Source organism: Homo sapiens, chromosome 14 (assembly GCF_000001405.40).
Source record: "Homo sapiens chromosome 14, GRCh38.p14 Primary Assembly".
Classification (NCBI taxonomy): domain Eukaryota; kingdom Metazoa; phylum Chordata; class Mammalia; order Primates; family Hominidae; genus Homo; species Homo sapiens.
Genome location: NC_000014.9, coordinates 94728835 through 94756404, shown reverse-complemented (window position 1 = coordinate 94756404; position 27570 = coordinate 94728835). Strand labels below are relative to the sequence as shown.

Below are 27570 nucleotides of genomic sequence, written 5' to 3'. Positions count from 1 at the left end.
AGGATTTCCCTCCACCAGACACTCTGCTCTTTCTGGGGGATTTAACAGCAACTCTGAGGCCCAAAACAGGGCTGGGCATGGGGTCAGGGAGGTGTGGAGTGCATCTCTAGCTGTGGCATCAGCGCCCTCCTCCCCTTCCATTTCTGATTATTGCAAAGTTAAGGTTTGAATTAGGACTAAGCATAGGGCTGGGGAGGAACAGGGCAGAAGAGAGAATTGTATTAGCTGTCAGAAGTTAGGCCTCCAACCACTTTCCGGCTCAGGGAAACTTGACCACCACACTCAACATCTCTAGGCCTCAGTTTCCCCATTTGTTGAAGAGTCATCAGCCACAGGTGGTGGCTCATGCCTGCAATCTCAATGCTTTGGGAGGCTGAGGCGGGAGGATCGCTTGAGACCAAGAGTTTGAGACCAGCCTGGGCAACATTGCAAGACCCCTGTCTACAAAAGAATTAAAAAAAAAATAGAAGCTGGGCATGGTGGCTCATGCCTGTAATCCCAGTACTTTGGGAGGCTGAGGCGGGTGGATCACCTAAGGTCAGGAGTTCCAGATCAGCCTGGCCAACATGGTGAAACCCCATCTCTGCTAAAAATACAAAAATTAGCTGGGCGTGGTGGTGGGTGCCTGTAATCCCAGCTACTTGGGAGGCTGAGGCAGGAGAATCACTTGAACTTGGGAGGCAGAGGTTGCAGTGAGCCAAGATTGCACTATTGCACTCCAGCCTGGGCAACAAGAGCAAAACTCTGTCTCCAAAGGAAAATAAGAAAAAAAAGGAAAAGTCTTGAGTCCTGCCTTGTCCACCTGTCAGGGTTGCTGAGTGGCTCACATGATTCGGGGGATGTCAGCATGCTGGGCCACTGGCCCCAGGCTTGAGTGTTGGTGTCCCAGTGGCACAAGGACTTTGGACTGTATTTGGCAGTGTCCCTTTCAGCTCTGACATTCTTTATTGACTCCCCCACATCTAGGTTTCTTCATGGGATAGATGTGTCTGTTTCTACCTGGCCTAGTCAGAGACCTGGCCTCAGGGGACTTGCCTGCCATACCCTAGGCACCTGCCTTGCAGTGCAGGCCACTGAGCCTGTCACTTCTCAGAAGGCCTTTGTGGGTCCTTTAGTAGGTGCCCTTTGGGGAAACATAGGGTCTCCAGAAGCATTGGGCACCCCCCTTCTCTCCTCCTGTAGTGGGTTGGATAGTGTCCCTCAAAAATATATATTCAAGGCTTAACACCCAGGTCCTGTGACTGTAACCTTATTCTGAAAAAGGGTCTTGGCCAGGCACGGTGGCTCACACCTGCAATCCCAGCACTTTGGGAGGCAGAGGGGGGCAGATCACTTGAGGTCAGGGGTTCGAAATCAGCCTGGCCAACATGGTAAAGCCCTGTCTCTACTAAAAATTCAAAAAAATTTAGCCAGGCATGGTGGCATGTGCCTGTAGTCCCAGCTACTCAGGAGGCTAAGGCAGGAGAATCACTTGAACCTGGGAGGTGGAGGTTGCAGTGAGCCGGGATCATGCTACTGCCCTCTAGCCTGGGCGACAGAGTGAGAATCCATCTCAAAAAAAAAAAAAAAAAAAAAGCAAGAAAAAAGGAAAAAGGGTCTTTTTATCTTTGTAGATGTAATTAAGTTCAGGATCTCCAGATGACATCATCCTGGATTTGAGTGGGCCCTAAATCCAATGACTGGTGTCCTCATAAGAGAAAGATAGAGGGAGATTTGAAGCAGAGAAGGTGAGAAGACACACAGGGGAGGAGGCCATGTGAGATGGAGGCAGACAGTGGCATGATGGGGCCACCAGCCGAGGACTGTCAAAAGCCACAGGTACCTGGAAGAGGCAGGCGCTGCATCCTCCCCTGGAGCCTCTGGAGGTGGCTCAGCCCTGGCCACACCTTGCTTTTGGGCTTCAGAAATGTGGGATGATAAGTCTGTGGCTTCAAACATCAGAAATTTATTCTTTTACAGTCCCGGAGGCCCGAAGTCCAAAATCAAAGGTCTCAGCAGTGCTGTGCTTTCTCTGAAGGTGCTCAGGAGGATCCCATTCCTTGCTTCTTCCATCATCTGGTGGATCCAGGCGTGCCTAGGCTTGTGACTTCATCACTCCAATCTTGGGCTCTGTTTCACGTGGCCTTCTTCCCTGTGTCTCTCTCTGTCTTGAATGTACCTTTTCTTTCTTTCTATTCTTTTTTTTTTTTTTTTTTTTTTGAGACAGTCTTGCACTGTCGCCCGGGCTGGAATGCAATGGCGCGACCTCGGCTCACTGCAACCTCCGCCTCCTGGGTTCAAGCAATTTTCCTGCCTCAGACTCCTGAGTAGCTGGGATTACAGGCACCTGCCACCATGCCTGGCTAATTTTTTGTATTTTTATAGAGACGGGGTTTCACCATTTTGGCCAGGCTGGTCTCAAACTCCTGACTTCAAGTGATCTGCCTGCCTCTGCCTCCCAAAGTGCTGGGATTACAGGCGTGAGCCACCGTGCCCCATCCAAGTGCTGGGATTACAGGTGTGAAGGTGGTGGAATTCTTAAGTCATACCTGATTTTCCCAGTTTTATTAACCAGCAGCACCCACCTGAGTTTCCACCATCTACAGACACCTCATGAGGCTCTTTGTGGGCCTCTACCCTAGTGATGCTACTAATATCAGCCACCACATATTGAGCATTGAATACGATGCTGGCACAGTGCTGGACATTTTATATTCAATCTGTCCAGGCCTCACTGCACCCTCCGCCTATAAGCAGGGACAATTTTTTGTTCTGTTTGATGATGAGGAGCTTGAGGCACAGAGAGCAGAGGTGTCTTAGCTAGAAACGTCAGGGAGGCGTTGCAAAAGCACTTCTGTCTGACTCCAGAGGCTGTGTTTCTTCCCTTCCCCATCATTTCTCACCTCTCTGGGTGGAGGGAAGGACCTTGAACACCTGACTTGGGCACTGCTACCCTGCCTTTTATTCCCCCAAAAGTCTGCTCTTCCCCATCCGGCAAATCTCTCTGCCTCTGTCTGGAAAGTTACAGGCCTGGCTGATAAACTGTTGTCTTCTTTTTAATCATCCATGGGCCAGCTCCACAGGGATGTCCACTGGCCTTCTCAGCGCCTGCTTAGGGAAAAACCTTCCCCACACATAGCAACGGTTTCCAGGCTGAGCCGCGCTGAGGGCTTCCAAGTAGAGGGGTCATTTGGATAGTGACCAGCTTCTCCATGGGATGGAGGTGACCGCCAGCCAGCCCACAGGGTGAGCGTGTCTCTTTGCAATGAAAGCTGATCGACCTCAAGGATGTCGCAGTGTTTTAGTGTCTAGGGCATTCCCAACACTGCCCAGGAAGATGGCATGTGTTTGTCTTTTAGGAAGAGTGGTTTGTTTTCAGAGCAGAGGGAAAGAGATCTGACCTGCCGTGGCCTCTTCCTCACACTTGCCCCTGTAGCATCTCTTGCCAGATTGACAGAACATGCTCCAGCTTGCTTTTGGTTTTGTTTAGATCCTCATTGGAAATGAGCGATTTGCAATCATTTTGACCCCATTCAGTTAAATCGTTGAGGTTGTCTCTATTTTTTACTGTCCTTAGGGGTTGGTCTGCATTTGGTCCAAATTACGTGACTGTCGACAGACGGCAGTAAAAGTGCTTTCGCAGGCAGGATGGGGCGGTGGGAAGAGCTTGTGTCTGGAGGTGGAGACCAGCGACTTGGCTCTGCTTCCCGCGGCCCCTCCAGCCTGGTGACACAGGCGAACCGTTTAATCTCTCAGAGACACAGTTGTCTCAAGTATAAAACAGATCTAATAACTCATGCCCCTTTGTTCTCTCTAGGGCAAGTTACGGCAATCTTGGAAGCATGAAAGCAACTTTTTTCCTCTTTTCCTTCAGCGAGGGAGGGATGAGCAGACTCTTCAAATGAATTGGATGTGAAGTGGCAGAATATGATGTTACTAACAGTCCATATTTTTGCCTGTAGAATATTGCATCCGAGTATTCTTTTTATAGACCCATGGTGGAACACCGGGGAGGCCAAGTGCAAGCTATATGAAAATGGTTTGCGTTCTCAGAAAAAGAAACAAAACAAACCACAACCCTGGACTACTCAGCAAGTAGGAGACGTTTTCCCATTCAATGCTCCTGATGATGGGGGAACTAGGTAAAATCCGAACGGAGGCCCAGGGAGGAGAGAGGCATGCCCAGGGTGCAGGATCTCATAGTCACTGACCACGTCTGTGGGGCTGGGGCCCTTTCAGCACAGGCAGTCCAGGTAAGGGGTCTCCCAGGAGATCCCAGAGCATCAGGAGGTGGGGAAGTGTGGTTGAGCAGATGTGGCTGAGGGTCCTGCCTGAGAAGTCCTAAACTTCAGGTCAGGTGGGTGAGGAGAGGTCATGATTGGAACCAATGCCTTGGCTGGGCATGGTGGCTCAGCACTTTGGGAGGCTGAGGCAGGTGGATCACCTGAGGTCAGGAGTTTGAAACCAGCCTGGCCAACATGGTGAAATGCTGTCTCTACTAAAAATACAAAAATTAGCCAGGTGTGGTGGTGGGCGCCTGTAATCCCAACTACTCGGGAAGCCAAGGCACAAGAATTGCTTGAACCTGTGAGGTGGAGGTTGCAGTGAGCTAAGTTCATGCCACTGCACTCCAGCCTGGATGACAGAGCAAGACTCTGTCTCAAAAAAACAAAACAAAACCAAACCCAATGCCTTCAGTCTTATGGCCAAGCTGACCGAAATAGCCTTGGAAGCTGGATATGGGGGCATTGGGACAAGTGGTTCAGGATGATGCTGTGTGCAAGGTGGGGGTGTCGGGAGCCTGCCCATATTTATCAATGCCAGCTGCGAAGCAGGGACAGGCCTGCAGGATAGGTAATTCCAGCCCCCAGAGGCACTCAGGGAGTGAACGATGGAGCCTGAATTGGCCCTGGGGCCCAGATCCACAGAAGACTGTACCCCAGAGGCCGTGGGAACAGCGCTATTTTTAGCCGACACTGGGACTAAGGTCCAGTGTGAAATATGACCGTTTTTCATCTTGACCATTCGTTGTGACTGTTCCCTCCCACAGGGTTGCCAACCCCTGCTCCGATTCCACATCACTCTCAGGGCCCTGCGTCCATCATGCCTTCGCTTCCTTTTCTCTTTTTGAATTTTTCTCCCTTCCTCATTTCCCTCACTTTATTCCTGTGTTTTCCTGTGCCTTGCCCTTCCCTCCTCCAACACCTTTGCCCTTTACTAGGTGCTGGGGACACGAAGATGAGCAGGACAGAGCCCTCGGCTCAAGGAGACCCCAGTCAGGGAGGTGAACAGGCTCAGAGACATGAACCCCAAGACAGTGGCAGGTACTGAGACAGAGCTGTCAGTGCAGGGTTCAGTGGAGGGTAAGTCAGGTGTGGAGCCTTCCCTGGTAGCCCCTGGCCTGCCTCAGTTTTCACATCTGTGCAATGAGCCCACTGACAGCAGCTGCTCCATGGGGTGCCCAGAATTAAACAGGGTGCTGCATAGCAACAGAGACCTAGCTCAGGGCCCTTGCAGGACACACTCCTGGCCCATGCTAGCAGCTCTGTCGTGGCTGTGGTTATTATTCGACCTGGGAATGGGATAGGCAAGGGATTAGGAAAGAACTCAGAATTAATAAAAGTTATAAACAGTCATGCCCAAAAGCCTTTCGAAGGTGGCCACACAGAGGGTGTCAGGTGGAGCCCAAAGGAGCTAGGATCTGGGAGGGATTGGGGGCAGCCCTGGGGCAGACAATAGCAGGGTGAATCTGAGGGGCTGGGGCAGCAGGGCTGGATTAGCGGGGCTTTGGTGGGACAATGCTCATTGGTGGACCCATCCCTGGCTTTTCTTCCTCTTAGAATGACATTCCCAGTGCCCTCATTAAGACAAAGATGTCACTGAATCGGGCTAATGAGGTTGCTATTGCCTTAAGTTAGTGATGGCTCCATTCATGGCTTAGTTTGCTCCCAGGATGGATAGCACAGCTGTGTGGCTCCCTCAGGGAAGGCTCCTGACTTTTTAAGACTGACTTGCAAAACAGAAAGTGCTGAGGGGTTAAAAATTATATATTTATCTGTATAGCTAAAACTGTCTCATACCTAAAGCATAAGTATTCATTCTGTTCCACACTTATTTTTTTTCTTTCCTTCGGGATTACATAAGTTACATGTGCCAGTGTAAATTTTTCGAGACGGAGTCTTTCTCTGTTGCCATCTCAGTGGTGCCATCTCAGCTCACTGCAGTCTTGACCTCCGAAGCTCAAGTAATTCTCCCATCTCAGCCTCCTAAGAAGCAGGGACCGCAAGCACGTAGCACCATACCTGACTAATTTTTTATTTTTTATGGGGATGAGGTCTTACTATTATGTTGCCCAGGTTGGTTTCAAACTCCTGGACGCAAGTGATCCTTCTGCCTCAGCTTTCCAAAGTGCTAGGATTATAGTAATGAGCCACCATGCCCAGTGCCTATGTAAAATTTTCAAACCAATGGCAGGGTGTGGTGGTTCATGCCTGTAATACCAGCACTTTGGGAAGTTGATGTGGGAAGATCACTTGAGCTCAGAAGTTTGAGACCAACCTGGGCAACACGGTGAAACCCGGTCTCTACCAAAAAATACAATCAAACAAAAAAACGACTGGGCATGGTGGCTCACGCCTGTTATCCCAGCACTTTGGGAGCCTGAGGTGGGCGGATCACTTGAGGTCAGGAGTTCGAGACCAGCCTGGCCAACACATGGTGAAACCCAGTCTCCACCAAAAAATACAAAAATTAGCAGAGTGTGTTGGTGCACGCCTGTAATCCCAGCTACTTGGGAAGCTGAGGCAGGAGAATCACTTGAGCCCGGGAGGCAGAGGTTGCAGTGAGCTGAGATCATGCCACTACACTCCAGCCTGGGCCAAGAGCAAGACTCTGTCTCTCAAAAAAAAAAAAAAAAAAAATCGTCAGGCATGGTGGCATCCATTTGTAGTCGCAGCTACCTGGGGCGCTGAGGCGGGAGGATAGCTTGAGCCTGGGAGGTCGAAGTTGCAGTAAGCCATCCTCGCACCACTGCACTGCAGCCTGGGTGACAAGGTGAGACCCTGTCTCAAAAAAAGAAAAAAAAATTCAAACTGTACAGAAGCTGAGAGTGAGGTGTGAAAATCCTTCCTTCCTCTTCAGTGCTTTTCCCGAGGGGTAACCACTGCTGAGAGTTTCGAAGTTCCAGGCATTTTCTCTCTGTATGTCTCTGGATGTGTATGTTTTTGCCAACAAATTCATCATGAACAACTCATGACTATTTCTCCCTGTCAGTGCATGTGGATCAACTTCTTGACTTTAGTGGGTGCTTCGACCTTTATTTATTTAACCATTTCCTTGTTGCTTGTTAGGAAGCCATTTCTGGTTTTTCAATGTCACAGTTAATGCTCAGGGAGCATCACTGTGCTGGGATCCTATTTGCCTTAGGTCAGAAACCTGCAGGGGGAGCTCCTGGCCAGTCGCACTTCTCCAACTGCAGGTGTCAGTCTTGATTTGTGCCAGGCTAAGGGGCAAACAGGGCAATGGCGTCTCGTTTTTATTTATATTTTTCTCACTCACAGAGAGGTGGGGCATAGTTTTTTTACTGCTTGGTGGCATTTCTTCCCACTTGCGTGAATCGCCTTCTCTATTTTTCTTTTCTTTTTTTGAGATAAGGTCTCACTCTGTCACCCAGATGGAATGCAACAGCGCAGTCATGGCTCACTGCAGCCTTGTCCTCCCGGCTCAAGCAATCCTCCCACGTTGGCCTCCTGAGTAGCTGGGACTACAGGTGTGTGCTACCACCCCTGGCTAATGTTTTATTTTTTTGTAGAGACAAGGTGTTGTTATGTTGCCCGGGCTGGTCTTGGACTCCTGGGCTCAAGCGATCCGCCACTTCAGTCTCCCAAAGTGCTGGGATTATAGGTGTGAACCACTGCACCGGGCACCTCCCCTGTTTTCCTATGAGACGGGTGGCCCTTTCCTTACTATCAGAGCTTTGAGTACGCCAGGCCAATGAACCCTTTGTCTCTTATATATGCTACAAATATTTTCTCTTAAAGCATCATTTGTATTTTTTGTATTTTAACTTTGTTGATGGTCTTTAGCTGTACAGAGCATTTCATTTTTATGGAGTAAAATTTGTCAATCTTTTTTTTTTTTTTTTTTTAGATGGAGTCATGCTCTGTCCCCAGACTGGAGTGCAGTGGCGCGATCTCGACTCACTGTACCTCCCAGGTTCAGGCGATTCTCCTGCCTCAGCCTCTGGAGTAGCTGGGATCATAGGCATGTGCCACCACGCCTAGCTAATTTTTATATTTTTTGTAGAGATGGGGTTTTGCCATGTTGACTAGGCTGGTCTTGAACTCCTGACCTCAAGTGATCCGCCCACTTCAGCCTCTCAAAGTGCTGGGATTACAGGGGTGAGCCTCCGTGCCCTCAGTCTACTTCTTGATGGCTTCTGGATTGTGTCCTGCTTAGAAAAGCCTGCTCCTCCCCGCAATTATGACTCCAGTCCTGTGTGGTTTCCTCTAGTACTTTGAGAGTTGGATTTATTACATTCAGCTTTTTAATGCATCTGGAACTTATTTTAGTATGTAGGGTGAGCTAAGAGTTTATTTCATAGTTTTCAATCTGATAACTGCTATTGACTATATTTTTATTTATATTGCTATTTTCAATGCAATATGTTTATATTTGCTATTTGTTATTATAGTAATAATTATTTATATTGCTTTTTTTTTTTTTTTTTTGAGACAGATCCTTGCTCTGTCGCTCAGGCTGGAGTGTAAAGGTGCAATCTTGGCTCACTGCAACCTCGCCTCCAGGGTTTAAGCAATTCTCCTACCTCAACCTCCCAAGTAGCTGGGACTACAGGTGTGTGCCACTGAGCCCAGCTAATTTTTGTATTTTTAGTAGAGGCGGGGCTTTACTATGTTGGCCAGGCTGGTCTAGAACTCCTGACCTAATGATCCGCTCACCTTGGCCTCCCAAAGTGCTGGAATTACAGGCATGAGCCACCACGCCTGGCCCCCCCCCCTTTTTTTTTTTTTTTTGAGACGGAGTTTTGCTCTGTCGCCCAGGCTGGAATGTAGTGTCGCAATCTCTGCTCACTGCAACCTCTGCCTTCTGGGTTCAAGCAATTCTCCTGCCTCAGACTCTCGAGTAGCTGGGATTGCAGGCACTTACCACCCTGCCTGGCTAATTTTTGTATTTTATTAGAGATGAGGTTTCACCATGTTGGCCAGGCTGGCCTTGAACTCCTGACCTCATGTGATCCATCCATCTCATCCTCCCAATGTGCTGGGATTACAGGTGCGAGCCACCGCATCTGGCCTATATTGCGATTTTCAATGCTATTTACTATATAATCTTCCACCTTCCTACCACTTATTCATAATATAGCATTTTCTCTACCTTTCTATGGCTATCTATCTATCTATCTATCTATCTATCATCTTTCCTACCCTTACTGTTGTGTTTTATTAGTTTATCTGTTCTTATTCCAGTAGCATATTGTGTAATGGTACTATCCTAGTTGTATGGCACCTCTTAATATCTGATAGGACTTAATATCTGATAGGACTTTTCCCCCACTATTAGTTTCTTTCAAATTTTTAGTGGCTACTTTTGTTTTACAATTTCTCAGATAAATAAACATCTATCGGTATTTTTAGTGGAGTCACACTTACTTTATAGATTAATTCATAGAGAGTGTACCTCTTTACAATATTGAATCCCACCATTTAAGAATAAGATGTCTATCAGTTAGTCCTTACTGGGTAACAAATCACCCCAAAACTCAGTGGCTTAAACCACTTCTATTTGTAATAGCACAAGTCTGTGTGTTGGCTAGAGATTGGTTGATTTGGGCTGGGCAGGGCCTGGTAGCCCTGCTTCAAGCTCTGGATGGATCCGTTTATGCTTCGTTCTTCACTGAGATGAGGGCTCAGGTCTGCCCCCCTTGTTTTCCTTTTGAGCAACAGGCCTAGGGTAAGCTCCTCTAACAGTAGTGGCAGAGAGGCAGGAAGACAAACAGAAACCTATTAGGGCTGAGGCTCTAATTGGCACATTGTCATTTCTGCCCACATTATATTGGCCAAAGCAGATCACATGGTTATACTCCAAGTTAAGGGATGGGGGAATACATTCTGCCCACAAGGAGGCCAAGGTAAGGGAATGGATGCAGAGAGGGATGAAAAAAAGGGGCCAGTGATAGAACTGATATCATGGTATATCTTTCTGTTTAGTTACTCCTTTTTTTGTTTTTTTATTTTTATTTTTTTGAGATGGAGTCTCGCTCTGTCGCCAGGCTGGAGTGCAGTGGCGCAGTCTTGGCTCACTGCAATCTACTTCTTGATGGCTTCTGAATTGTGTCCTGCTTAGAAGAGCCTGCTCCTCCCCACAATTATGACTTCAGTCCTATATGGTTTCTTCTAGTACTTTGAGAGTACTTGAACTCCGCCTTCTGGGTTCAAGTGATTCTCCTGCCTCAGTCTCCCAAGTAGCTGGGATTACAGGCACGCGCCACCATGCCCAGCTAATTTTTTGTATTTTAGTAGAGATGGGGTTTCACCATGTTGGCCAGGCTGGTCTTGAACTCTTGACCTTGTGATCTGCCCACCCCGGCCCCCAAAGTGCTGAGATTACAGGCATGAGCCACCACACCCGGCCCCCCCTTTTTTTTTTTTTTAAGCAAAGTTTTCTACACAAAAATATTGCACAATACTCATTAGGTCTATTCCTAGATATTGTACAATTCTTTCTTTTCTTTTTTTTTTTTTTTTTTTTTTTTGAGACAGAGTCTTGCTCTGTTGCCCAGGCTGGAGTGAAGTGGTGCGGTCTCAGCTCACGCAACCTCCGCCTCCTGGATTCAAGCGATTCTCCTGCCTCAGTCTCCCGAATAGCTGGGACTGCAGGCACGTGCCACCAAGCCCGGCTAACTTTTTTGTGTTTTTAGTAGAGACAGGGTTTCACTGTGTTAGCCAGGATGGTTTCGATCTCCTGAGCTCGTGATCCACCCGACTCGGCCTCCCAAAGTGCTGGGATTACAGGTGTGAGCCACCGCGCCCGGCCACCCTTTTTGAGATGGAGTCTTGCTTTGTCACCCAGGCTGCAATGCAGTGGCATGATCTCAGCTCACTGCAACCTCCGCCTCTCGGATTCAAAGGATTCTCCTGTCTCAGCCTCCTTGAGTAGCTGGGACTACGGGCGTGCACCACCACGCCCAGATAATTTTTGTATTTTTAGTGGAGACGGGGTTTCACCATGTTTGCCATGATGGTCTCTATCTCTTGACCTCGTGATCCGCCCACCTCGGCCTCCCAAAGTGCTGGAACTACAGGTGTGAGCCACTGTACCTGGCCAATATTGTACAATTCTTATTGCTATTGTTAATGGGATTTTTTCCCATTACATATTTAAATTATTTTTATTGACATACAGATAATTGACTTTGGGTTACTTATATTATACCCTACTGTCTTACAAAACTCTGTTACTGGTTCAACTTGCATTTCAGTTGGCCTTGTGAATTTACTAGCCAGACTGTCATATCATCTAAAAACTATAATTTTGTCTCTTCTTTTTTCCTCTGTCATCTAGGCTGGAGTGTAGTGGTACTATCTAGGCTCACTGCAACCTCTGTCTCCCGGGCTCAAGGGATCCTCCAGCCTCAGCCTCCCTAGTAGCTAGGACTACAGACATGTGCCACCATGCCCAGCTAGTTTTTGTATATTTTGTAGAGATGAGATGTCCCCATGTTGCCCAGGCTGGTCTTGAACTCCTGGGCTCAAGCAATCCTCCCACCTCAGCCTCCCAAAGTGCTGGGATTATAGGAGCGAGACACTGAGCCCAGCCTAATTTTGCCTTTTCTTTTCCAGTGCTTGTTTCTCTTATTTTTTTCCCCTTATTTTGTTGCATTCACTAGGTCCTCTAGCACTTAGTGAATATGATAGTGTTGATAGCATGAATGCTTGTTTCCTTCTTTAAAGGAATTGCTTCTGGGTTTCACCAATAAATATTATATCTGCTATTTATTTTTTCATTAAAAATAATGGTAAATAGCCAGGTGTGGTGGCTCATGCCAGTAATCCCAGCATTTGAAGAGGCCGAGGTGGGCAGATCACCTGAGGTCAGGAGTTTGAGACCAGCCTGGCCAACATGGTGAAACCCTGCCTCTATAAAAATACAAAAAATTAGCCGGGTGTGGTGACGCACACCTGTAATCCCAGCTACTTGGGAGCCTGAGGCAGGAGAATCACTTGAAACCGGGAGGCGGAGGTTGCAATGAGCTGAGATCACACCACTTCACTCTAGCCTGGGTGACAGAGCAAGACTCCGACTCAAAAAACAAAACAAAACAAAAGGTAAATACTTGAAGTGAAGTTAGACCTCCTTCTAGAATATTAAAGAGTGATGTTTGGGGGTCAGTGCAGGGGAGGTACATCCATGAATGAACATATTATTCATTTGCATTTTGGCCTCAAGTAGCAGATGTTAACTCATTCTAGCTTTAATAAAACAACGACAATGGCATTTATTATAAGGATGTAGGCAGGGACAAAGGTAAGTTTGATAAAGAGCTTAGGAGGCCACTTAGACTCTCTTTTTATCTCTCATCTCATCTCTGTTGCTTCCTGTGCCTCTTCTTACTTTTTAATGTTCCTGGAGACCAGTGTTCTCTGTTCTCCAAGCCATAGGGGAAACACATGTTTACCCAGCCACAAGACAAAGTCTCTCTCCTTTCTTTGTGTCTCATCAATCTCTTTCTCCATGACCTAATTCCAGATTCTAACAGAATGAACCCTGATCTCCCCTACTCGAGTCAGACTGCCCCATGGCCTAAAGGACCTATAGTTAGGCATAGGTGCCTTATTCCACATGGCTGGGAGGAGTCCTTTCTCTGGACCTGGGGCAGGTAAGGAGAGGCTGTCTTGGACTCCACAAGATATCCGTTGTGTAGAGAGCACCCTCAGCTCAATGGCAGGAGACTGTAGAGCTGAAAGACCTTGAGACCAGCCCTGACTCTGCCATGGAATCTCTCTTTGATCTGGGATACCAACAGCCTCTAGCCCTCAGTTTCCCCATTTTTTTTTTTTTTGAGACGGAGTCTCACTCTGTCCCAGGCTGGATATCGGCTCACTGCAACCTCTGCCTCCTGGGTTCAAGCGATCCTCCTGCCTCAGCCTCCAGATTACAGGCGGGTGCCACCACGCCTGGCTAATTTTTGTATTTTTAGTAGATACGGGGTTTCACCATGTTGGCCAGGCTGGTCTCAAACTCCTGACCTCGTGATCCACTGCCTTGGCCTCCCAAAGTGCTGGGATTACAGGTGTAAGCTACCATACCTGGCCAGTTTCCCCATTTTTTTTTTTGAGATGGAGTCTCACTCTGTCACCCAGGCTGGAGTGCAGTGGTGCTATCTCAGCTCACTGCAACCTCCACCTCCCGGGTTCAAGCGATTCTCCTGCCTCAGCCTCCCTAGTAGCTGGGACTACAGGTGCGTGCCACCATGCCTGGCTAATTTTTGTATTTTTAGTAGAGACGGGGTTTTGCCATGTTGGCCAGGCTGGTCTCGAACTCCTGACCTCAGGTGATCCACCTGCCTCGGCCTCCCAAAGTGCTGGGATTACAGGTGTGAGCCACCGTGGCTGGCCAGTTTCCTCATTTTTAACACTGGATTAACAATGTTGGTGCTGCATCCTTGCAGGGCTATTGGAAGGAAGCAGTGTATTATTTAATGTGAAAGCATTTTTTTTCTTTTTCTTTTTTCTTTTTTTTTTTTTTGAGACAGAGTCTCGCTCTGTTGCCAGGCTGGAGGGCAGTGGTGCGATCTTGGCTTGCTGCAACCTCTGCCTCCCACGTTCAAGTGATTCTTCTGCCTCAGCCCCGCAAGCAGCTGGGACTACAAGCGTGCACGACCACGCCCAGCTAATTTTTGTATTTTTAGAGACAGGATTTCACCATGTTGGCTAGGATGGTCTCGATCTCTTGACCTCAGGTGATCCACCCGCCTCGGCCTCCCAAAGTGCTGGGATTACAGGCGTGAGCCACTGCCCCCAGCCGTGAAAGCATTTTTTTTTATCCTGTAGTTGTGTAATTGCTGTGATGATTTCTTTTGCTGTTTTCTTCCCCTCCTCTTCCTACTCCTTTGTCTCAAAAAACAACTTGTTTCCTATCATTAGAAAAAAACACACATGCTCATTGTAGAGAAAAAAAACAATGGTAAACCAGAGCCAAAAGGAGGAAAATAAAAAATCCATAATCCTACTGTTAACACTATGTCATATACTGGTTGTGACCTTAATTTTTTTCCGATATTTTATTTTGTTAAATAAAAATGGAGTCATCCCAGAGAGTTCTTGGTCCCAAGTGTTCCCTCCTCCTGGGTCTGAGTGCGGGTGGCATTTGGAAGTGGGAGGTGGAACCAAAAGGGGCCCAACATTCTGGAGAGGAAAATGAAGGAGAAAGGTGGGGGCCAAACCAGGCTGTTGAAATCTTCCCCACCTTTGGGAGGCTTTCCCTCCCCTCTCCTTCCTAGCTATCTCAAGGGACGAAGAGGCTACTGCTGGGGTGGGTGGGGTGGATAGTACTGCCAGCCAGGACACAAAGCCTGCCTGACACCTCTCCAGGTATCTGGCCAATGGCCCCTTATGTGTTTTCTGTTTGTTTGTTTGAGACTGAGTCTCACTCTGTCACCCAGATAGGAGTGCACTGGCGCGATCTCGACTCACTGCAACCTCCGCCTCCCGAGTTCAAGCGATTCTCGTGCCTCAGCCTCCCAAGCAGCTGGGATTACAGGCACACACCACCACGCCCATGTAATTTTTGTATTTTTCATAGAGACAGGGTTTTGCCATGTGGCCCAGGCTGTCTCGAACTCCTGGCCTCAAGTGATCTGCCCACCTCAGCCTCCCAATGTGCTGGGGTTAGAGGCATGAGCCACTGTGCCCGGCCTGCATCTCATCTGAAAGACAAAACTTGACCTGCCAACCCTCCAACCTCCAAACTCCCTCTCTCACCACATTTTCTCTTTCCCACCTTCAATAGCACCCACATATTTATTTTAACCTGCTTAGTATGTGTATATGCAGCTGTTGGGACATTCATTGGTGGGGAGATCTGCAAGAGATTGGACTTGGGGCACCAAAGCACCCACTCCCAACAGAGGAGCCGGACCCATCAGAGGCCACTGGCTGTTGTCCTGCTGGAGACCCCAGAGCCTTATTTATGTTTGCTATTTAGACTGCTAGAGGAGAAGCAGCGAGATTTTGGTGGCAGGGAGACCAGTTGTTGCAGGGAGATCCCTTTCCAGGAAGGTGGGTGGAGACTCACACCACAAGCCTAGGAAGAGACACAGCCTAATGTATACATTGGTTAAAATCCTGGGCTCCGGAGTCAGCTGTCTGGATTCAAACTGTGGCTCTGAGACCTTGGGAAAGTCGTCTGCTCCTCATACCTTAGTTTCCTCATCTGTGAAATGGGGATGACTATGGACATTGGTTAAACAACTGATTTCTGGGGAGGCGGGAATGAGCCCTGATTTGTAGTGTGTGCTGAATTCCGTGGTGTAAACACTCTCTGCACGGATGATTTCAAGCAAGTAACATGAAGTCACGGATGCAGAGCTGGGGAGGGATGGCCAGGAGCCCACCTTTGCACATTACTTTCACCACACTGACACCACCAATGAAGGGAGCCCCAAGGAACAGGTGATGGTAAAATATGGTAAAATAATTAGGAAGTGATGAGTTTTGAGTATGTATTGTCTTTGCTTTTAATATAATTTATTTAATTGTAATACAATTTAATTTTTCATGTCTGTGTTTAACAAAAGAAGAAAGAAACATAACACTTAGTATTGTGCTTACCTTGTAGCTAGGGCTCCTCAAACTTTGTTGTCTGCAGAACCACCTAGAAGGCCCAGGCCAAACACAGAGGCCCAAGCTGATTAAAGTAGGATAGGGCCTGGGCCTTCATATTTTTACCAAATTTCTGGTGATTTTGATATAATCTAAGTCTGAAAACCACCAGTGAGTTTTGGGATTTCAGGGTGCCCAATGAATACTAGGTTGAAATGTACCAAATTAATGGTGTTTTACTGGTTTTAAATGATTGTACAATGGGCAATTTCACAGGGTTCAACCTAATAACTCTTCACTGCCACAGTTTGGAACCAATTAAGAAATTACTAAAGCTGGGCATGGTGGCTTACACCTGTAATCCCAGCACACTGGGAGGCCGAGGTGGAAGGATTGCTTGAGCCCAGGAGTTTGAGACCAGCCTGGGCAACATAGTGTGACTCCATCTCAATCAATCAATCAATGGTAAATAATAAATTTTTAAAAATTACCTGCCTGGCGCAGTGGCTTATGCCTGTAATCTCAGCACTTGGGGAGGCCGAGGTGGGCAGATCACCTGAGGTCAGGAGTTCAAGACCAGCCTGGCCAACATGGTGAAACCCCATCTCTACTAAAAATGCAAAATTAGCTGGGTATGGTGGCGCATGCCTGTAATCCCAGCTACTCGGTAGGCTGAGGCAGGAGAATTGCTTGAACCTGGGAGGCAGAGGTTGCATTGAGCTGAGATCATGCCATTGTACTCCAGCCTGGGCGACAGAGTGAGACTTGTCAAAAAAAAAAAAAATGCTGGGCGCAGTGGCTCACGCCTGTAATCCCAGCACTTTGGGAGGCCTAGGTGGGTGGATCACTACCTGAGGTTGGGAGTTTGAGACCAGCCTGACCAACATGGAGAAACCCCATCTCTAATAAAAATACAAAATTAGCTGGGCGTGGTGGCACATGCCTGTAATCCCAGCTACTTGGGAGGCTGAGGCAGGAGAATTGCTTGAACCCAGGAGGCAGAGGTTGCAGTGAACCGAGATCACAGCATTGCATTGCAGCCTGGGCAACTAGAGCGAAACTCTGTCTCAAAAAAATAATAATAATAAAATAAATTACCAAGTAAATCAGTTGGGAAATTGACATATTGGTCAGGCTGATACTGGAAGATGCAGTCTATCTCTTTGGGCTGGGGGTATCCTAAGATGGAATGCCAGGAAGAGGCACTTACCCATCCAGGCACAGACCATCCTGATAACTGCAGAGCCCAGGGAGCAGAACGGGATGCTTTCATGGGGAACTGGCCACTATATCTGCCAGTTCCCTTCCCAAACTCACCAGTCAGGTGACCAGGGCTGATATTAAGAAAAATATTCAGCAACTGATATGGGACATGAGCAAAACCCTCTTCCTCTTTTCATGATGTCACACAGCCTTGCTGCACGGGGTGTGGTGCATGGGCCAACAACATTAGGTTCACCTGGAAGTTTGCTGGGAATGCAGTCTTGCCCCCACCTCCAACCTACAGAACTAACATGCACGGGAACCCTACACCCCAGAATTCTCATGCACAGTAAAGTTGGGTGAGTTCTGTCCCTGGGGAGGACATGAGTCATTGGAGAAGTGTGGACTCTTGGATGATGAGACACGTAAGCTCCTCGAGGAGACGGCTTATGTGTTTCAGTCATTGCTTTATCCTGAGCCCTGTAACTGTTGATGGAATAAGTGTGGGCTTCTTCTGTTTGCTGAGAAACAGGCCTGGGATCTGGAGCTCAGGAGAGGGATAAGCTTTCCTGCTGGGCTGCTTGCCGACTGTGAAATCTTGAACCAACCCTTAATATTTCTGGGGTTCAGTGTTTCTGTCTGCAAAATGGGAAAAGTAACAACTGCCTTGGAGGGTTGTTGTGGGGAAAAAAGCAAGACGATAATGCAGCTGAGATCACCTAGCACAGGACTGGATGTTGAATGAATACATGCAACGTGCAGTGTGTGTATGTGTGTGTGTGTAGACAGAGTCTCGCTCTGTTGCCCAGACCGGAGTGCAGTGGTGTGATCATGGCTCACTGTAGCCTTAAACTCCTGGGCTTAAGCATTCTTCTGGCTCAGTCTTCCTAATAACTGGGACTACAGTGTGAGACATTGCACAAGCCCAATGTGTTTTTCTAAAAAGGCTTTAAAATGTCTAGTTATTTCTGTTCCCAAGGGTATCTGTATGTCTGTGTCTGTGTTTAGTGTTTGTGTTTGTCTTTGTGGGCGTGTCTGTGTGTATAAGGTGTGTATATGTGTGTGTGTCTGCATGTGTCAGTGTGTGTAGTGTGTGTGGTGTGTGGGTGTGTGTGTGTCTGCATGTGTCTGTGTTTGTGTGTCTGTGTGTGTGTGTGTGTGCGTGCGTGCGTGCGCACATAGGAGTGAAAGGAGTGGAGGAAGGCCAGGAGGTAGGAACCCCCGAGTCGAGTTTGGGGCACCTAGATTTTAAACCCACACCTCTAGGGTGACCTTTGAGTCCAGCTGCCTCTTTTGGGATTATGCCCTGAGATATTTTTCCTATTTCTAGGTTTCTTTCCCTTTCTCGTTCTCTTCTGTGTGCGGGACTGCACACAGGGTCCTTGTTGTTCCAGGGCCCAGGGCTCAATTATGGGATTTTCCCCTGTTTGTTCAGCAGCCACACCCAATTAATCTAGATAAATTTGTAAATGTCTTCATTTATATGGAAAATCCTTCAGAGAAACAAGAATTCCTGTGATGGAGCCCACACTGGAACAACAACTACTACTCCCAGCCCTTTCTTCAGAAAACAGTTTCCTGGCACAGGGACACCCGGCCCATCTCAGACCATTTTTAGCACAGCTGAGTGCAATGGTGAGTGCTTGGCCCAGAGCGACCACAGAGTGAGTCCTTAACCTCTGCACTGCACACCTTCTCCTCCCTTACAGGGTCAAGGTCAAGACGAACAGTCAGATCAGGCCTGTGTGACCCCCTCTTTAGGCTCAGAGCTCAGCATCTGTTTCCTGGGGCTGCTGCAACCAAGTCCCGCAGACTGCGGGCATCATAAGCAACAGCAACTTACTCTCTCTCAGTCTGGAGGCTGGAAGCCTGAGATCAAGGTGTCAGAAGGGCTGTGCTTGTTCTGGTGGCTCTAGGGGAAGATGCTTTCTTGCCTTATCCGTGTGCTGTGGCGTTCCTTGGCCCACAGCTGCATCACCACAGTCTCTGCCTCTGTCTTCACGTGGTATCTTCTCCCAGTATGTGTCCCTCTCTCTTCTAACCTTTTTTTTTTTTTTTTTTGAGACAGAGTCACTCTCTGTTGCTCAGGTTGGAGTGCATTGGTGTGATCTCGGGTCACTGCAACCTCCACCTACCCGGGGTTGAAGCAATTCTCATGCCTCAGCCACCTGAGTAGCTGTGATTACAGGCATGCACCACCACGCTTGGGTAATGTTTGTATTTTTAGTAGAGATGGGGTTTCTTCACATTGGCCAGACTGTTCTCAAACTCCTGGCCTTAAGAGATCCACCTGCCTGGGCTTCCCAAAGTGCTGAGATTACAGGCATGAGCCATCATGCCTGGCCTCTCTGCTTCTTCTCTTAAGGATGCCATTCATACTGTATGGGGGCCATCCTACTCTAGTATGACCTCATCTTAAGTGATCACAGCTGTCCTAACTCTGTTCCCAAATAAGGTCACATTCTGAGATTCTGGGGGTTAGGACTTTACATCTTTTGGGGGAACACAGTTCAGTCCATAAACAGAAAGAGGGTTGGGACATCGCCTGTCTTTTGCTGACCTTGGGCAGATGGCTTTTCCCTAATATTTGGTTCCTGCCTCTGTATAATGACTATAACAAGCTCTGTCTCCCAGGATTGGCCTGTGATTCCATGAGGATGGTGTAAATTGCTTGTCTTAGAACAGGTTGCTTACAGGGTTGGTTTTGTCTCCTTCTCTCAGGTCAGATTGTGAAGTGGGAAATAGTTGCCTCCCAAGCTTCCAGTTAACAAAGTTTGCAATATCTAGAAGAGTTTCTGAAATCCATGCTAAAATGTTCAGAGCATAAGGTGGCATATAAATTGAATAGTAAAGAGATTCAATCTTTAAGCGTGTTTCTAAGTGACAATTATCAGCTTATTTGGGCTGGTTGTTTGTTGCACAAATATAACACACAAGCCAACCAGATTCTGTAGGCTTCAGGAATTTGTTTGTTTGTTGCAGATTGGAGCTGTTATTAAATAAAATTTTTAAAAAATATATAATTAACTGGGGGTGGTGGTACATACCCGTGGTCCCAGCTACTTGGGAGGCTGAGGTGGGAGGATCGCTTGAGGCTGAGGGGTTGAGACTTCAGTGAGCTGTGATGGCACTGTTGCACTCCAGCCTGGGCCACAGAACAAGAACCTGTCTCAAAAATGAAAAACTAACTAAATAAATTAATAAACATAAGATATGAGATTCCTTGACATTCAAATCTGGAAGTCAGATGCAGTCCTGCCCCTGTGCATTCTCTGAAACTTGAATACCTTCCATAGAGAGCTTAGGTTGTATTAAGACCGAGTCTGTCTCCCTATAGACTGTGAGTTCTATGAGCAGGATGACTTTGCTATTTATTTCTTTACCTAGAATGTTCCAGCTATTTATTGCTGCATAACAAATCACTCCAAACATCACAGTTTAAAATAACATGTAATTATTTCTCATAGTTCTGGGGGTTAACTGGGCTCAGCTGGGTGGTTTTCACTGTCTCTCACACACTGTTGCTATTGGATGGTGGCTGGGGTTGGAACCAACTGAAGGGGGCCCACTCACGTGTCTGGCTTTTGGGCCGGAAAGGCTCAAATATCTGGGTCTGGGCAGATGGGGCTCCTTAGGTATTTCTGTCTCTGTGTGGACTCTACATAGTCTCTCCAGCATGACGCCTTCAAGGTAGCTGTGGTCCTTACAGTAGTTCAGGGATCCCAAAGCACATGACCCTAAGGAGAGAGAATCAGGTAGAATCTGTATCACATTTTATGACTGAACCTCCCCTAAAAATCAAGAAGGGTCACTTCCAAGAGAGTCACTAAGGCCAGCCCATATTCAAGGGGAGGGCAATGAGACCCCACCTTTCGATGAGAGGAGCATCAAAGAGTTAGACAAGTTTTAAAATTTCTAAGGGATCTGCTGGGCACGGTGACTTACACTTGTAATCCCAGCACATTGGGAGGCTGAGGCAGACAGATCGCTTGAGGCCAGGAGTTTGAGACCAGCTTGGTCAACATGCTGAAACTTATCTCTACTAATTTCTGTATTTTGTACAAGAATTGGTAGTCCCAGCCACTCAGGAGGCTGAGGCATGAGAATCCCTTGAACCCGGGAGGCAGAGGCTGCAGTGAGCCGACATCGCACCACTGCACTCCAGCCTGGGTGCAGAGCAGGACTCCATCTCAAAAAAAAAAAAAAAATTCATGAGATGGACAGTAATACTCACTCTTCTTTATTTTTTACTTAAAAAGATAACAAGAGGCCAGACACAGTGGCTCATACCTGTAATCCCAGCACTTTGGGAGACCGAGGCGGGTGGATCACAAGGTCAGGAGTTCAAGAACAACCTGGCCAACATGGTGAAACCCTGTCTCTACTGAAGATACAAAAAATTAGCTGGGCATGGTGGCGTGGGCCTGTAATCCCAGCTACTCAGGAGGCTGAGGCAGGAGAATCACCTGAACTCAGGAGGCGGAGGTTGCAGTGAGCTGAGATCATGCTATTGCACTCCAACCTGGGCAACAGGGCGAGACTGTCTCAAAAAAAAAAAAAAGAAAGAAAGAAAGAAAGAAGAATGCCTCTTAAATATTTGCAAGTCTAAGCATTAGGTATATTAAATTTTTTGTTTGTTTGTTTTCCTATGCCAACTCACCTGAAAAGCATTAGGTATAAATTAATTAAACTATTGTTGAAATTCTGAAGATGTTGATCTGTGTTAGCGTGTTAGAGTTTTTTTACTTTTTTAAAAAGGAGAGCCAGCATTAGAAAATTAGTTAGATCTTAGTCCTTAGGAAGTCAGCACAAAAAAACTATATATGACAGCTGTTAGCTCACTGGCGTCATTCATCTTATCACCTAATAAAAGGTTTATTTTCATTACAGATATTTAGAGGAGTAATCTGATATGAAATTGGTAGAATAACAACATAAACTACTTAAAAAAAGAACCTTACCTCAAGACTTTCCCTTTTCTTTGTCATGATAAAAGAGAATTATTACTATTGAGAGAGCAAACAATAGGTGCTCAATACATGTTTGCTGAATTGACTTGCTGCAAAACTGCATCAGTGAATTCCAGTTTATAGTTAGGCATAACCGTTGCAAGACACCATTTAAAGGCTACCCCTAGTCACAGCTCTTATGAACATATATTAATACAATCAAGACTGAACGTTTTTGTTTTTACAGAAAGCTGCGGTGGAGCAATTGCAGTGGATTCATCAGGATGCAGGCAGAGGTGTAGAACCGCTAAGTGTTGCACGGGATTGATGGCAGGCATCAGGCCTCACACAGTGATGGGAACCAGCTCAACAGTGCGCTGTCCCTGAGTCTGTCGTGGGTCTAAGGCCAGTCAGGCTGGCAATGGGTAAGCAAAGATGAATGTGAGGTCAGGGAGAGCAGAGTCTGCCAGGAGGAGACACCAGACCCCATGAGGAGGTTACGTCTCATTGGATCCCATGCTGGCCTCTCATCCCCTTCAACCCATGACTGTGCATGGGTGAGCTGCAGGAGAGCTGGGTGCTTCCCTCCAGGAGCACTCGACCCAGGTGAACATAGACAGGTTCACACACATGACCCTGACCAGGGATTTGGGACCTGAAGGAAGAGATCGGGCAGGAGCTGGGGGTCTGTGGGCCTCAGGGCTGCTACCTCAACCAAGAGAGCCAGGTGCCCCCGGACAACTGGGCGAAACCCGTCAGGCCTGCCACTGCACCCATCATGGGATGGGGAGGACGATTATCAGGTTGTATGGACGGAGTCTGCTTCCTGTGCAGGGAAGAAGGTACCCGAGTACGTTGCTGGCGGGCACGCAGATTGTCACAACCTTCTGGAGAAGTAGCCTGGGCAAAATGTTTTAAAATTACAGAACGTCTCTTTGACCCAGAATTTCATAGCTGGCATTCCTTATCATACAAGTAATGTAAGGATGGATGGTCAGTGTTGAGTAAATTATGGAAAATTCTTAATAGTTTATAACAATTCATGAATAATTATAATAATGGATCATTCTTAAAAATGAAAATAATAAGTTAGTGCTACATCTGGAGACCTGGGGAAGTCTAAAAACAAGCTGAGATACAATGTGTATGGTATAAACTCATTTTTCCTAAAACAAAGACAATATTATTTGGAAATGTATATATACATGTATATATATGTGTGTCATCTATTTAGAAGTACTTTTAAGGCCAGGCGCGGTGGCTCAGCCTGTAATCTCAGCACTTTGGGAGGCAGAGGTGGGTGGATCACCTGAGGTCAGGAGTTCGAGGCCAGCTTGGCCAACCTGGTGAAACCCCAACTCTACTAAAAATACAAAAAATTAGCCAGGTGTGGTGGCAGATGCCTGTAATCCCAGCTACCCAGGAGGCTGAGGCAGGACAAATTGCTTGAACCCAGGAGGCAGAGGTTGCAGTGAGCCGAGATCACGCCCTTGCACTCCAGCCTGGGCAAAAAGAGCAAAATTCTGTCTCCAAAAAAAGAACTTTTAAAAGCATGAAGAAAAATTTGGAGGGAGAAATACTAAATACTAGGTTGTAAAAATTGGTTATGTTGGGGGCGAGGGAGTGAAGGTGACAAATAAAAGAGAAAAAGGCAAATATTAGACTAGAATAACAACAAATCTCATATCAATTAATGATCTCATATAGGCTTTTACTTAAGATTAAATAGGTGTGTTTATATGTAACTTATCTCTATTAATACTTTGCGTTGAAATGTATTTTGCATGATATTAATGTAATTACTTTACCCTTCTTATGGTTACTTTGTATACGGTAAATTTTCTATTACGATTTACTTTTAGTCTAACTGTCTTTATAATTAAAGTACATCTCTTTTATCCATTCTGACCATTCTACCTTTTAATTAGAGTGTTTAGGCCATTAACATTTAATGTGATTATTGATATGATTGGATTTAAATCTACCACTTAATTATTTATTTTTGTTTGTCCCTTTGTTATTTTTAACTTTTTTTTTTCTTTAAATAATGTTAAATTTACTTGCCAGGTGCAGTGGCTCATGCCTGTAATCCCAGCACTTTGGGAGGCCGAGGCCAGCGGATCACTTGAGGTCAGGAGTTCAAGACCAGCCTGGCCAACATGGCGAAAGCTTGTCTTTACTAAAAAAAAATACAAAAATTAGCCAGGTGTGGTGGCGGGCACCTGTAATCCCACCTACTCCAGAGGCTGAGGCGGGAGAATTGCTTGAACCTGGGAGGCAGAGGTTGTAGTAAGCTGAGATTGCACCATTGCACCCCAGCCTGGGCAACAGAGCGAGACTCTGTCTAAAAAAAAAAAAAAAAAAAAAAAAAAAAAAAAAAAAAAAATTATAGAGAAGTTGCAAAGATAGTTGCTATAAATTAAATGTTTGTGTTCCCCCAAAATTCACATTGTGGAAGCCAAGGTAATGAGATTTGGAGGTGGGGCCTTTGGGAAGTGATTAAGTCATAAAGGTAGACCCCTCATGAATGAGATTTGTGCCTTTATAAAAAGAGGAGGAAACCTGGGATCTCTCTCTCTCTCTCTCTATCTCTCTCTCTTTCTTACTCTCATCTGCCACATAGGATACAGGAGAAAATGGCCATCTGCAAATCATAGAAAGGGCCCTCCCCAGAACCGACCATGCTGGCATCCTGATCTCAGACTTTCTAGCCTCCAGAACCATGAGAATTAAACATCTGTTGTTTAGACCAGTCGGTCTGTGGTATCCTTTCATAGCAGCCATAGCCAATTAAAATCATAGTACAGAGAGTCCCATATACCCCTCACTCAGTTACCCCCACTGTTAGCACCTTGTATTATACCTTGCTATTGTACATTTGTCACAAATAAAAAACCAACATTGGTACGTTATTATTGGTACATAACTAAACTCCAGGATTTCGTCACTTTTTTATTTGGATTTCGTCACTTTTTCTATCCTCTTTCTAATCTAGGTTACCATATTGCATATTTAATCATGTCTCCCCCATCTCCTCTGGTCTAGGATGGTTGCTTAGTCTTTCCTTTGTTTTTCATGACCTTGACAGTCTTGAGGAGTACTGGCCAGGTAGCCTGTAGAATATTCCCAAAATTGATGTTTTTCTCGTGATTAGACTGGGGTTGTAGATTTTTGGAAAGGAAACCATGGAAGTGAAGCGTCCTTCTTGTCTTCTCATTTCGGGAGATTCATGATATCAACATGACCCATCACTGGTGATGTTAACCTTCATCTCATGGTTAAGGTAGTGTCTGCCAGGTTGCTCCATGGTAAAGTTACTCTCTCTCTTTCCCATACTCTTCCACTACTTGGAAGCAAGCCACTAAATCTAGCCCAACCTCAAGGTGGAGGGAAGGGAGTAGGAATTAAGCTCTACTTCCTAGAAAGGGAGTATGTACACATATTATTTGAAATTCTTTTATAAGGAAGATTTGTTTCTTGTCCCTGTTTATTTGCGTATTTATTAAATCATTTATTTATATAAGTGAGGACTCACGTATGTGTGTTTTACATTTTGGTTTATATTTCCATATTATTTATTTTGTGGTTCCAATTGTTCCAGCTCTGCTCATTGGAAACCCTTTGTGGTTGGCTCCTATATCCCTTTGATTTGCCCTAATCTAAGATTTTATGATCAGATCTACTCTGAAATTTTCAACTTTTCAGTTATAGGAGGCAGTAAGATTTGTCTCCCCCTTTTTATTGCTTAAGCTAATTTGAGTTGAATATCTGCCATTGCAAGCAAAGAGAGACCTAAGAGAGACCTGATTAACAGACATAATATATAACAAAATCAGGTAAATAGATTATTTAACTTTGAGCTTCCTGGAAGCCAAAGTAAAAAGAGAAATAGTATGGATTATATAACACTTGTCTGATTAAAGGAAACATACCAAACTTAATTTAATCCCCGATTCAAATGTGACAAATACAAAGATCCTTATTCATGAGGATATTAAGTAGCATAAGGATTTTTCTAATGATGCCACGACATTCTGATTTAGAAGCAAAGGATGTTATTATTTTGGTGGGATTTAATAAAAAGGCATTTCTGTAAGAAGTTCCTGTGGCCTAGGAACTAGCTTTTCATATTCTAACCGGATACAGACAGACAGCTTAGGGAACCAGAGAATGGATGCATAGTCTTTGTCTCAGACTATCTTTTTCAGGGTCCTTGGGTATTTGATGGATAGCAGCCAAATGATCTTTTAAAAAATAGGCTGGGTGCAGTGGCTCACGCCTGTAATCCCAGCACGTTGGGAGGCCAAGACAGGTGGATCACGAGGTCAGGAGATTGAGACCATCCTGGCTAACAGGGTGAAACCCCGTCTCTACTAAAAATACAAAAAAATTAGCCAGGCATAGTGGCGGGCACTTGTAATCCCTCCTAGTGGAGGCTGAGGCAGGAGAATGGCGTGAACCCAGGAGGTAGAGGTTGCAGTGAGCCGAGATCGCGCCACTGCACTCCAGCCTGGGCGATTGAATGAGACTCCATCTCCAAAAAAAAAAAAAAAAAAAAAAAAAACACTCTTGGCCAGGCGTGGTGGCTCACGCCTGTAACCCCAGCACTTTGGGAGGCTGAGGCAGGTGGATCACCTGAGGTCGGGAGTTCAAGACCAGCCTGACCATCATGGAGAAACCCTGTTTCTACTAAAAATACAAAATTAGCTGGGCATGGTGGTGCATGCCTGTAATCCCAGCTACTCAGGAGACTGAGGCAGGAGAATCGCTTTAACCTGGGAGGCAGAGGTTGAGGTGAGCTGAGATGGTACCACTGCACTCCAGCCTGGGCAACAAGAGTGAAACTCCATCTCAAAACAAAACAAAACAACAACGAAAAACACTCTCAACAGATGCACACAATATTACTGAAAGGGTACTGATCTATTATAAGCCAGAATTACAATTCTAGCATTTGAGCTGGAGATTTAACTTTGCAATTTCCACTGATGCTAGTGAATTTCACATCAATTTCTCTACCTATCAGCCAGCAAAACTCCTTTTAACTTGTCAGCAGAGCTTAAGGGGATTCCTTCTGAAGAAAGTGCTCTTTAACACACAATGGATAACAGGTTTGGAATGCAAGGAGGGAGTGAGCCCAATGAAAATCTCCTCACAGAGAGCTGCTTTTATTCCCATTGCGTTTTTCCTTCCCTGAAACTTCAGATTTTCGGCACCTCCTGCTTGCAGGCTGTAACAGTGACTGCTGAGCACTCTATCCACAGCCCCTCTGGATCTCCATCAGAGCTCCAAGCTTGCATTCCATTTGCATTAGGAGCCCACCTTGCAGCCGGCTGGCCTGCCTCCTGACTCCAGATGTCATCTTCAGAAAGCTTCACCTTCCAGTGGCTGAGTTAATCCTCTTACCAAGGGTTTGGCTGCTTTTTAACTTCTAGAGGTATTTTCCTGCCACTGGCCAGCTTTTTTCTTTTTTTTTTCTTTTTTCTTTTTTTTTTGTCGTTGAGTTTCTGTGGTGCTATAGGATTTAAAGTGGGATAGATTAGCCTGAGCAAAAGACTTCAAGCCAGGCAGATCCTGTAGAACAAAGGAATTTCAGCCCC

General features: G+C 46.2%; 2 annotated features.

The window, feature by feature from the left end:
- Nucleotides 3097-3266: an enhancer, noted in NCBI's record as "experimental_38793 CRE fragment used in MPRA reporter constructs". NCBI's record gives its function as "activates a minimal promoter by MPRAs in K562 erythroleukemia cells, with activity observed for both the introgressed and non-introgressed 14:95219561 or rs372202597 variant alleles {active_cell/tissue: K562}" and the evidence as "EXISTENCE:reporter gene assay evidence [ECO:0000049][PMID:34662402]".
- Nucleotide 3181: a transcriptional cis regulatory region, noted in NCBI's record as "Neanderthal adaptively introgressed variant 14:95219561 (GRCh37/hg19 assembly coordinates) or rs372202597 in the experimental_38793 CRE". NCBI's record gives its function as "modulates activity of the experimental_38793 enhancer by MPRAs in K562 erythroleukemia cells {active_cell/tissue: K562}" and the evidence as "EXISTENCE:reporter gene assay evidence [ECO:0000049][PMID:34662402]".